We start from the raw sequence: 12,027 nt of genomic DNA, 5'->3' as shown, positions 1-12,027 counted from the left end.
CAGGTGGTAGCAGATGAGCAGTTGGGCTTCCTCCTGTCTCCCTACCTCTTCCTCCATACCTCCCTTTTTTCCATGTCACTTCTCTACTGCAGCTGTGCATTATAATCACCAAAGAGCTTAAAAATCTACCACTGCCCTTTGCCCATACAATATTTGCGACATACTTATACTAAGGAATTACTTATTGTTTATCTGAAATCCAAGTTTAACTTGATGTCCTTTATTTTTCTTGCTAAATCTGGGAACCCTACTAAGACCACTTCAAAATATATTAAATCAGAATGACTTAGGGTGGTGCCTGGGCATAAGAAATTGTGCAGATGCTCCCCAGGTGATACTATTGTTTGCTATAAGTTAGAACCATGGACAGTACGGCTTTTATTCCATTTGGAGCCATTTGCCTCATATTCACTGAGCCTTTGTTCCCCCACCAAACTGAGGGTTGGGCTGATATTTCTCGTGGCCCAATAACAAGATGCAGATGAACTGAGGAGGAAGAGAGTTTTTATTTCTGTAACCAGTTACAGGGAGAAGGCCTGAAAATTACATTTTTTTTCAGAGCTTATATACCTTCGAAGCTATATGTCTACATGTAAGTATGCATTCATTTAAAGACATACGTGATTAACTTCTTTTAATCTACAACTAAGGTCTGAGTCCTGAAGACCTTCTCCTGGAGCCTCAGTAAGTTTACTTAATCGAAGTGAGTCCAGGTGCTGGAGTGATTACCCTTATCTTGTCTCCTGCTAAATTACAGAGGTTTAGGGAGTTCCTTCAGACCCCCAATAAACTTCTTTGTGGAGGCCTGGGGAGTTTCTTCAGACCCCCAATAAAAGTTGTTTAATCCTAAATGGGTCCGGTTAAGAAGAATTCCTTCGTTATTTTGTCATGTTTTAAGGCCCAGGAAAGGCCTAGGCAAAACTCTTGGTGGGCTTTTGTTACATTCCAGCCTTTGTATAAGGGCACTGGCTTTTAATATTTAACTTAACCACTCAGTCAGTACTAAAACGGTTGTTATGGAGGCCTGCCACACCTTCACTATTTTTTTCTCTCTCCAACGTAAAACTTGCAAGCTCTTGTAAATTCACTTAGTCTCCCGTATCAACCCGGCCTCATCTAAATTGGTATCACATATTTCATTAATTTCACCCAAGGGAATAACTGGATAAGATAATGCAGGTGGTCATGCCTGAGACAGAAACCAGAGAGCTGGGGATCTCTTGTCCGCACTGAGTTGAAGATATTTTTAAACTATTCCTTGCCTTAATCACTCCCATCAATGAGAATAAGAATTCTCTCTTGATTTAGTTTACTATCCCCTTAGCTAATTTGCCCGTTTTTTTTTCTTCCAGGTGTACCTACTTGTAAAAAACTGTTGGGAGGAAGATCCAGAAAAGAGACCAGATTTCAAAAAAATTGAGACTACACTTGCCAAGATATTTGGGTATTGCTGAAATGTTTACTTTTATTCACTAATTGCAGGGTTTTAAAAAAATTATAGTTGACATTCAGTGGCACCTTAGAATGAGAATGTCTATTCCAGTGAAAAATCCCAGGTGGCAACCAACAACTGCCTCATAACATTAAAATGATATGGAGACTATTAGACCGTTTTCCCAGGGAAATAATCACTTGAAAAGTTACATACTCAAGGTCAAAACTTTTCTGATTAAAAAACAAACTTTAGCTGATTATAAATTTGTCTGTTAAAAATAGAGCTTCTGGGTCCTTCTGTGGGTAATTAGGATTTAGAAGTGTAGCGTGAGTCCTGAGAATCTGTAAAGCTCCTAGACAATTATTAACATCAGCATGTTCTTAGGATCTTAAAGTCTTAAAATCTCCAGCTTTGGCCCTAGGTACTTAAGACATGTCATGAATCAGAGCATAATTCAAGTTGGGGGAGAAAAGTACACAATTATCTGGTTGAGATTAATTTCTAGATACCCCATGTTTTCAGTTAATACACTGCAGAATGAGAAAAATAACACTGAATTAAGAGTTAGGAAATCCAATTTCTAGACTAAGATCTGATAAGAGTTTGCTGTGGGGCATTGGGCAAAACACTTACCCTCACTGGGTATCAATTTTCTTGTTAGAAAAATTGGATTGAACAAGATGATTCTTATGATTTTTTCCAGGTCTTTCTGTAGTTCTCATTAGGTCAAAAGACTCAGATACTTAATGAGACTAAAAGTCTAGAGCTGGAGGAGATGAGGTGGAGTGAAGTTAATGAACGTGTGGTCATTAATTAGTAGAACTAAGCTGTCAGTTGTGGGAATGGAGCAGGAAATAATAATTAATTCTAGCCCTTTTTTTTTCTCCTCGCTGTCCTGTCCGGATGAGACTTTATATGTGACTGATAAAATGTATGCTCATGAAGAAACTGGGTCCTTGATACTCAGCCTTTAATGTGTGTGATGGTTCTCAAACTTGGCTGCAGCTTGGAATCACCTGAGGAACTTTAAAAATACTGATACTGGGGTTTTACCCTAGAGAGGCTGATGTAATTGGTCTGGGGTACATACAGGTGTCAGGATTTTTAATAGCTCCCAGGTGATTAAAATATGCAGTCAAAGGTGAGCAACTGTTTTAATTGAATCAATTCATCCTAGAGTAAGATTATCCAACTTCATCTCTTACACCTGCTCCCACATCCATTCTACCCAACTAGACTCTGTACTGGCAGTTTCAAGTAAAAATTCCCTGGGGAACTTGTTAAACAATTCTGTTTCTTCATTCCAAGCCTAGCAATTTTCAGTCACATAGGTCTCGGGTAGGGCACAAAAATGTACTGGATTTTTAACAAACATCTCTCCCCATCCCAGGGGATGATGATGCAGGCCATCTTCTCCTGAGACCAGAAGTGATTGTTATTCTTGTAATAGTAAAATGACTGTGATTTATTCAGCACCTTCAATTGTGCCTTAGATGTTATGAACATTATCTCTGATCCTCACAATGCTAGGAGAACTCAATGTGTCTCCTCCCTGACCTCTGCACCAAGGCTTGTCATACCTCCCAGTGTCACACAAAGCTGTCATCTCACTAAGTCTCCTTGATCTGACAAAATAATCCAGAGTTAGGACCCTGGCTCTCTGTAATGAGGAGATAATTTAAGGCTCAGCTTGGCTTTTCTCAGTCCTTCTCCTTTCATTTATCACTTTCTTGACCAGCTTTTAAAAGATTTTCCTTCATTGCAAATTGTTTCTTTTGTATTTTAGAAAATACAAATAAGAAAGCAAGAAAGTAAAACGTCACCTGTTTCCCAATAGGTGACCACCAGTCTTCAAAAAATAAAATTGAGATTATAATTTTTGCTATTTTATAAACTGACTTTTTCGCTTAATAATACAGAGGGAGTGTCTTTCTGAGTATTCAACTATACTAATTTGTATTTTATGATACAAATTAGAATGTTAATGTTCCATTGTCCCATCATATTTTAACCACACTTTTGTTATACATTTAGATTATTTTCAAATGTTTGCTGTTGTAAAGAATACTGTGACTTTTTCTGTTGTTAACTCTAAACACATTCATGATTGTTTCCTTAGGATAATTCTCAGAAGTAGAGTTATAAGCTGATTGGTATATGCATTCTTAAAGCTTGTGACATATTTTTACCAAATTGCTCTTCAGGAAGGTTTTGTACTATATGTATTTCCTCCTTCTCCTACGTTGATTACCATCATTTTAACATTTGTTTTCCCTTTTTTAATCTTATTCTTGTCCTGAGGTTAAGTTGGGCTTTTTGTTTGTTTGTTTGTTTAAGACAGAGTCTCACTCTGTCACCCAGGCTGGAGTGCAGTGGCATGATCTCGACTCACTGCAACCTCCACCTCCCAGTCAAGCAATTCTCCTGCCTCGGCCTCTGGAGTAGTGCCACCATGCCCGGCTAATTTCTGTATTTCTAGTAGAGAAAGGGTTTCACCATGTTGGTCAGGCTGGTCTCAAACTCCTGACCTCAAGTGATCCTCCCGCCTCGGACTCCCAAAGTTCTGGGATTACAGGCATGAGCCACTGTGCCCGGATGAGGTTGAGTTTTTTTGTTATGTTTGTTGGCTTTTATTTTTCTTTGTTTAATTATCTGTTCATCATATTTGTCCATTGTTTTATTGGATGTTCATGTTTTCTTAATAATATATAAGAGCTCTTTATCTATTACTACCTACAGACTTTTTCATGACCAAAAAAATGAAAGCTATATGGATACCTTGATCCGACGTCTACAGCTATATTCTCGAAACCTGGAACATCTGGTAGAGGAAAGGACACAGCTGTACAAGGCAGAGAGGGACAGGGCTGACAGACTTAACTTTATGTTGCTTCCAAGGTAAGGCAAGCCTTGCTGATGTGGAGGCTGAAATCCCTCTAGCATTGCTTTTCATTGTATCTATATAGGATTTGTTTCCTTTTATATATTCTTCAGTAGATTATTGGTTTTAAAATGCACGTACTGCCAGGCACGGAGGCTCACGCCTGTAATCCTAGCACTTTGAGAGGCTGAGGCAGGTGGATCATGAGGTCAGGAGATCAAGACCATCCTGGCTAACATGGTGAAACCCCACCTCTACTAAAAATAATAATAAAAAAAATTAGCCAGGTGTGGTGGCGCGCACCTTTAGTCCCAGCTACTCGGGAGGCTGAGGCAGGAGAATGGAGTGAACCCAAGATGCGGAGGTTGCAGTGAGCCAAGATCGCGCCACTGCACTCCAGCCTGGGTGACAGAGCAAGACTCCGTCTCAAAAAAAAAAAAAAAAAATGCATGTACTTTGCTAAGCCTTGTTCCAGTTTGTACTCTACTAAGTAATGTTCTGAAGGTCACCCAGTGAATGGCAGAGCTGGGATTCTACCCAAGAAGCCCGAGCTGGAGCCCCTGATCTCCTTTAGTAACTCTGACCTCAAAATCTCAAACCTCTGAAAGTCAAATCACCTGCAAGAAAACTAGGAGGCGGATCACAGCTTGGGGGAAAGGAGTTGGAACACATTTGGCAAGTGGTGTCTTGCAACCTTGTGATAGAAGGGCAGAACCCATGAGCCCTCAGAGTGCCTGGGAACAGTAGGGAACCCTTCATATTCACTTCAAGGATGATAATTTCTATCACAGCTCCATAAATATTAGGTACATAATGCATAACTCCTTGCCTGATCTTTAATGCTGAGTTGTGACAAAAACAATATCCTGGTTATCTGGCTGCCTTCCCAGGGTTTCATTGGCGGTGGTTTTAACCATTAATGTCACTCAAGTGGTTTGAATCAGCTGGCTCACCATTTCAGCTTTTTTCCTAGCCTTAGTTCAATATGCCACTTGGACTACTAGTTGGTAGATGTTTTTATTGGATTTCCAAAGGTTATATCACACAAGTCTCTTGAAGAGCTACAATACACCATGGCTTCAGCACAACTCACTTTGGTTATTTATGTAAAAATTTTATGCGCAAGATAAAACTAAAACATGCATGAGCAATAACTAGAAGAATCAAAAAGAAATATGTGTAGCAAAGGGCAAATAAACTTAAGATTGCATGTAGGAACCAGATATCACTTAGACATTTATTTGAATAGTACCCCTTGGGGTAAATACATTAAAATAGAAGTTTCTTCTTTTTTATTTTTATTTTATTTAATTAATTAATTTATTTATTTTTGAGATGGAGTTTCACTCTTGTTGCCCAGGCTGGAGTGCAACGACATGAGCTCAGCTCACTGCAACCTCTGCCTCCTGGGTTCAAGCAATTCTCCTGCCTCAGCCTCCCAAGTAGCTGGGATTACAGGCGCCTGCCACCACACCCAGCTAATTTTTGCATTTTTAGTAGAGAGGGGGTTTCACCATGTTGGCCAGACTGGTCTCGAACTCCTGACCTCAGGTGATTCACCCACCTCGGCCTCCCAAAGTGCTGGGATTACAGGTGTGAGCCACTGTGCCTGGCCAGAAGTTTTTTCTTCTGGGAAGACTTTCTAAGAGATCTACTCTGTATACTAATTTTATCTATGTCAGCAACAACCTGTTATCAAAGCTCATCATGTTAACTCCCAGCCCTTCCTTCGTTTATTTACAACATGAGTTTCTCTCTCTGGATAACACACTATTTTCCAAGTGTAATAGTCCATTCTCACCCTATTATAAAGAACTACCCGAGACTAGGTAATTTATGAGGAAAGGAGGTTTAAATAACTCACAGTTCCACAGGGTGTTCAAGAAGCATGGCTGGGGAGGCCTCAGGAAATGTACAACCATGGTGGAAGAGTGAAGGGGAAGCAAGCACCTTCTTCGCATGGCAGGAAGAGAGAGAGAGAGCAAAGGGGGAGGTGCCACACACGTTCAAACAACTAGATCTCATGAGAACTCACTAACACAGGAACAGCAATGGGGAAATCTGCACCCATGATCCCATCACCTCCCACCAGGTCCCTCCCTTAACATTGGGGATTACAATTCAGCATGAGATTTGGGTGGGGACACGGAGCCAAACCATATCACCAAACTCATGTGACTTTTCAGATATAAGCAGTACAATGAATTGCAAATATGGCAGAATATCCAATTTTGTCATTGCATCTATGCAGCCTCCAAAATACTATGCACTTTATACAGGGCATGTCAAGAACAACCACTCCAGTCGTGTACCTAGGAATCCAAGCCACACCAAAGGAATGTTTTTCAAAGGTTCCAAGTTTTGTCATTGCACCAATTAAAAAGGTTTCTCCGGATACTCTGGAGGTTCTCCAAATGAGTGTTAGAAATCTTTGTGGTTGATTGGTTGTTTTCTTTCCGGGAGAGCCCACCTCCTTTGTTGCAGTCAGCATACCTCCAAATCTTCCCCATCTTCCTGAATATCCAAGGCCTGGGTTGTGCAGGGAGTGTAATGCAAAAAAAGACTGATGGGTGGGACTGAAGGCTTCCTGAATTCTAGCCCTGGCTCTGTCCCTAATCGGCTGTGGGAACTTAGGGAAGTCATACTTTTTTAGACCTCAACTTTCTCATCTGTAAAAATAAAGATTTCTTTTCAATGACTTCCGTGGAACCTCCCAGCTTCCAGTTTCTGATTCTAGTGGTTCCATACTGAGGGCCACTACAAAGTGATGCCAAGGACAGACAGGGACCATCCCACTTCATGTCAGCCCTCACTTCCTTTTCTCAATGAAGAGGTAACTTGGCACACCAAGTATGGAGTCCCTTCTTCTGGTTCTCTTCCTTCAATCTTGAATCTGATATGCTGCTCCTCATTCAGCAAAGATATTCTAAAAGTTGCTTTAATTTGACTTCTACAGTTTTAGCATGATTTAATTTATTTACATGATTGATTCTGCTTTACAAAGGACCCAAATCTGGTTCAAAATATCAAATGAACTCTGGTTCAGAATATATCAAAATTTATATTTAAATGCATCATTATTTCATAGTAATATTAAGCAATGCCATATTACATATGCCAGGAAAGTAAAACTATCAACTTTGTTGAGAAATTCAGATCTGATACCTGTGGTGATTTAAGTAATACCACACTCTCCTCAGCTTCTGCATGTAGAGCCACATCTGTAAGAGGTTGATTATCAATAGAGAAGCAAAAAGTGGACAAGTATGTATATGTATGAGAGTTTTGAGGATATTAAAGTTATCTATTTATGTGTATTAGGATTAATAATCAAACACTAAGTTAATGTTGAACCTGCTTGTATTCATCTGTGTTCACAACATGCATTATATGTGTATTTGTGTAATATGTTCATGTATATGATATACACAACCTCTGTTTCCGATTCACTCAATTCACTGGAAGTCTCAAATTCTAGAATTCTTGGTAGACAATCACTACTACCTGAAAGATTTATGTGAAACAAGAAGAAATTTGCTGAAGTTGAAGGCATTTTTTTTCCCTTCGTTCATCTAGGCTAGTGGTAAAGTCTCTGAAGGAGAAAGGCTTTGTGGAGCCGGAACTATATGAGGAAGTTACAATCTACTTCAGTGACATTGTAGGTTTCACTACTATCTGCAAATACAGCACCCCCATGGAAGTGGTGGACATGCTTAATGACATCTATAAGAGTTTTGACCACATTGTTGATCATCATGATGTCTACAAGGTAACCACATCACCTAACAGGCTGAAACCATTAATTGTACAACTCAAGGTCATCAGAGCCTGAATTGGTTGTTTCTGTTACTACTCTTGACCGCTCTAGTTTCACATTTAGTGAATTGGTGGTTGAATCTGAGCTAAAAGTGAAGAGAAGTAGAAGGATTAGAGGAGTGAGAAGTCAAAATTACCATTCAACTTTAAGAAGCAGCAAAAAAGATACAACAGGAAGTTCAGCAGGAATTAATTTGAAGTATTAAATTTAGACAAAATGGCATACTCTTAAATCACCTCCAAAAAATGGGCAGTGTTTAGGCTGACTGCAAATGAAGCAGAGAAGACACTGGGGTTATAATAAATAGAAAATCATACTACAAGAATGTATACAATTACATATTACAAAGTACAATATTCTGTTAAATAGTATGTTGACATTTGCTAAAGGATTAATTTTCAGGAAACTAAGGGTGTTCCTCAAATTACATAAAACCATTCAGATTATTTATTTGAACATTTCTAGAACTGTCACCACATCTGGACAATTTATATAATTATGAAGTACTTTTAAATGGCTAAATTCCTTTATAGCTATTTTATCACCCATTAACTGGACTATAAAAACCCTGAAGAAATCAGCATAGAACTGATCCAACTGGCCCCAGAAAAAGTGTAAAGGGCTATGCTCATACTGTGTTCCCAAATCACTTTTTGTGTTTGACATGTGATTAACTGCTTCTGTTTACTTTCTATACTTTTCAAAGGGGCAGAGGCACTCATGAGAAACTGTTTCCACAGGTGGAAACCATCGGTGATGCGTACATGGTGGCTAGTGGTTTGCCTAAGAGAAATGGCAATCGGCATGCAATAGACATTGCCAAGATGGCCTTGGAAATCCTCAGCTTCATGGGGACCTTTGAGCTGGAGCATCTTCCTGGCCTCCCAATATGGATTCGCATTGGAGTTCACTCTGGTATGGAGTTGAGCATCTTAGCAAATTGGGAACCATATGTACTGCTGTGCACCAACTAAATCAGAAAGGATAAAAGGTCTTCAAGTGTGATCGACCTCACATAATTTTTACTCTTAATTCTTTTTGCCAAATGTGAGGTCCCACTATGCATCCTGAGATATTTAGACCCAGTTCCTAGAGAACTCTAAGAACAAGACCTTTGAGGGCACCACTGACTGCTGACATGATAAACACCAAACATGTACGAAAACAAGAAGCTTTGGACTCCTATTTAAATCACCATACCTATGATTTCATTTATTTCCTCCCCATTCCCTTTCTCCCCACCCCCAACTTCAATATATTTTCCCACTAAAATATTATAGTATCTTAAGTGGATTAGATTATCTACAAGGGGAAATAAAGAACAGATGGTGAAATTTCTATAATATTTATACCCCCTCCCTTCCCTGCCACTGCAGTTATACAGAAAGTACATGAGTCACTTTCAAAGACCATGAAAGTTACATAGCCTTGTTAAAAGAAAAGCTTATGCATATTAAATTTAACACAGTTTGATTGAGCAAAGAATAATTTTCAAATCAGATGGCCCTTAAAACCAGAAGAGGTTCAGAGAGCTTCAATGGGCAAGGTGGGCGGGCAATGTTTATAGACAGAAAACAGAAGTGAGGGACAGAAACAACTTGATTGGTCAAACCTCTGTGTTCCCCTGATTTGGTCAAAGTCCCATCAGTTGACAGCCTGTGACTGGCTGAAGCTCAGCTACTGCGATTGGCTGAGACTCAGCTATCTATAACGTAAGTATACCCTAGTTAGGCTTTTAGTTTGTTTATGTACCAAGCTAGGTTGCAGTTTGTTTTGTAGGGACCCCTAAGAGGCAGCCTCAGGCCAAACTTAGTTTAATTCAACAGCCTTGAACATCAAGGTTTGAGATGAGTTACAGGTGTTATAGAAAAAACACCTGTAAGAGAGGAACTCAGAAGTCATCTAGATGAATCTTTAGCCAGGCATTGCTTAAAACTCAGCTTTGCAGTTTTTGAGTTAATCTTTAACTTCTGAAACTGTTAACACCTTGCACTCAGTCATTCTATGCAAATACATGACTGAATAACCCTTATTTCCTACCTAATATGCCACAGCGCATAGTCTAGCCTGGGCTTTTGTTCTGCTTGTTGGAACCTCCTTGTGCCACAGGCTTCCCCATCCAGCTGCATTCGCCTGGTCCATGAAATGCTTACGGAAAGTTATGCCTTTGTCTTGTCTTCTGTCTTCCATTGTCATGGCACCAATCCCAGAAATGCCACCTTAAAATAAAAATAAAACAAACTTGAGCCATTGAAGCTTCAAATCTACAGTGCCCTCCAGCAGTGTGAAATTCAGGGTTGTGTGGTTTGGCACAGTAAGCAAGCAGTGGGGCTCATCTTCATCCTTCCTGAGAGCCTTCTATTTAAAATCACCTTTGTGATCTGGATCTCTGAATGCCTTCCTATTTGCTACAAATGTCGTTTTCTTTGCGAGAGCAAAATACTTTATGATCGCATGCATTGAATAATGATGCTTCATTGGATTCATCCATTTAAACCAAAAGTCCCAGCTCACATTTCACATCCTCAGCTACTTCTCCATGACAGGAAGTATTCAGGATTGTGACCATACAGAGAGGCTTACCTGTCTTCACTCTACTCTGCAATTTCTATTGCCTCCACTTCCTGCTTTCTGTCCTTCATTTCAGGTCCCTGTGCTGCTGGAGTTGTGGGAATCAAGATGCCTCGTTATTGTCTATTTGGAGATACGGTCAACACAGCCTCTAGGATGGAATCCACTGGCCTCCGTAAGAAGGGAGACTGTTTTTCTCAGAGGACAAAGATGCTGTTTTCCAGCAGAGGGCAACTGTGAGATAAAATGCACAATAAGGAGATACAAAGTGCCAGTGAGATGTAGAATAATTCTTCACATTAGCTGAACACAAACCCGTGTCAATCCACCTTTTGCTACATTTGCTTTCATTGTTGTTTACTGATAATTATTTTATTCTTCCACTTTTGCTCAGTTTTAGACTATTTCTATATTTTTGGCTCATATACAATGAATCTGGGGATATTCTACTTAGAATAGTCCTGGCATTTACCATAGATTCATGAAAGTTAAAAAAAAATCAGTAGGCAAGGTAAGAACTACACACTCTGGTTCACATTCCTGTTTCCCTCTTATTTGGTTTTGCTTTTTTGTTGTTGTTTTTTAGAGACAGGCTCTCGTTCTGTCACCCAGGCTGGAGTGCAGTGACACGATCATAGCTCCCTGTAAACTTGAACTCCTGGGCTCAAGTGATCCTCCCACCTCATCCTCCCAAGTACCTGGGACTACAGGAACATACCAGCACATCCAGATAATTTTTAAATTTTTAATAGAGACTGGGTCTCACTATGTTGCCCAGGCTGGTCTCAAACTCCTGACCTCAAGGAGTCCTTCCACCTTGGCCTCCCAAAGCATATTCGTTTTTTCTGGAAATTGATTTTTGTTTATTTGTTTGAGATGGGGTCTCACTCTGTCGCCTAGGCTTTGGCACAGTGGCACAATCACAGCTCACTGCATCCTTGAACTCCTCAGCTCTAGTGATCCTCCCACCTCAGCCTCCTAAGTAGCTGGGACTACAGGCATGCCACCATGCACAGCTAATTTTTTAATTTTTTCTGTAGAGGTGTGGTCTCTCTATGTTGTCTAGGCTGGTCACAGATTCCTGGGCTCAAGCAAGTCTCCTGCCTTGGTCCCCCAAAGCCCCAAAGTGTTGGAATTACAGGCAAGAGCCATCATACCCAACCAAGAATTGATTTTAGTAAAGAAAAATCTAAGCATTTGTTATATACGAAGGAATATATTGCATTTGCTTGGCAAGGTAGAGGCACAATGTGCTGCATGAAGTAGATGCTCAATAAATATTGATGACAGTGGTAGCAGTAGAAATATATAGAAGAGAGAAAA

General features: G+C 39.9%; 1 protein-coding gene and 1 long non-coding RNA gene across 3 annotated transcripts in view; one reads left to right on the top strand and one right to left on the bottom strand.

Annotated features, from left to right (window-relative positions):
* The window catches only part of GUCY2C (guanylate cyclase 2C), an 83,968-nt gene that overhangs the window by 66,510 nt on the left and 5,431 nt on the right, over positions 1-12,027 (top strand). For both annotated transcript variants that reach the window (XM_011520631.3, NM_004963.4), the window contains exons 20-24: positions 1,353-1,444; positions 4,175-4,333; positions 7,893-8,085; positions 8,874-9,048; positions 10,781-10,879. In XM_011520631.3, coding sequence (XP_011518933.1) covers positions 1,353-1,444; positions 4,175-4,333; positions 7,893-8,085; positions 8,874-9,048; positions 10,781-10,879 — 718 coding nt within the window. The remainder of the gene's footprint in view (positions 1-1,352; positions 1,445-4,174; positions 4,334-7,892; positions 8,086-8,873; positions 9,049-10,780; positions 10,880-12,027) is intronic.
* The window catches only part of PLBD1-AS1 (PLBD1 antisense RNA 1), a 52,024-nt gene continuing 50,331 nt past the window's right edge, over positions 10,335-12,027 (bottom strand). Inside the window, exons 5-6 of the long non-coding RNA NR_120465.1 lie at positions 10,717-10,938; positions 10,335-10,352 (exon numbers count right to left, since the gene is read on the bottom strand). This is a non-coding gene — a long non-coding RNA (PLBD1 antisense RNA 1). The remainder of the gene's footprint in view (positions 10,353-10,716; positions 10,939-12,027) is intronic.

The sequence above is a fragment of the Homo sapiens genome, chromosome 12, assembly GCF_000001405.40.
Source record: "Homo sapiens chromosome 12, GRCh38.p14 Primary Assembly".
Lineage (NCBI taxonomy): Eukaryota > Metazoa > Chordata > Mammalia > Primates > Hominidae > Homo > Homo sapiens.
This window is presented reverse-complemented; position numbering and strand designations above follow the sequence as displayed.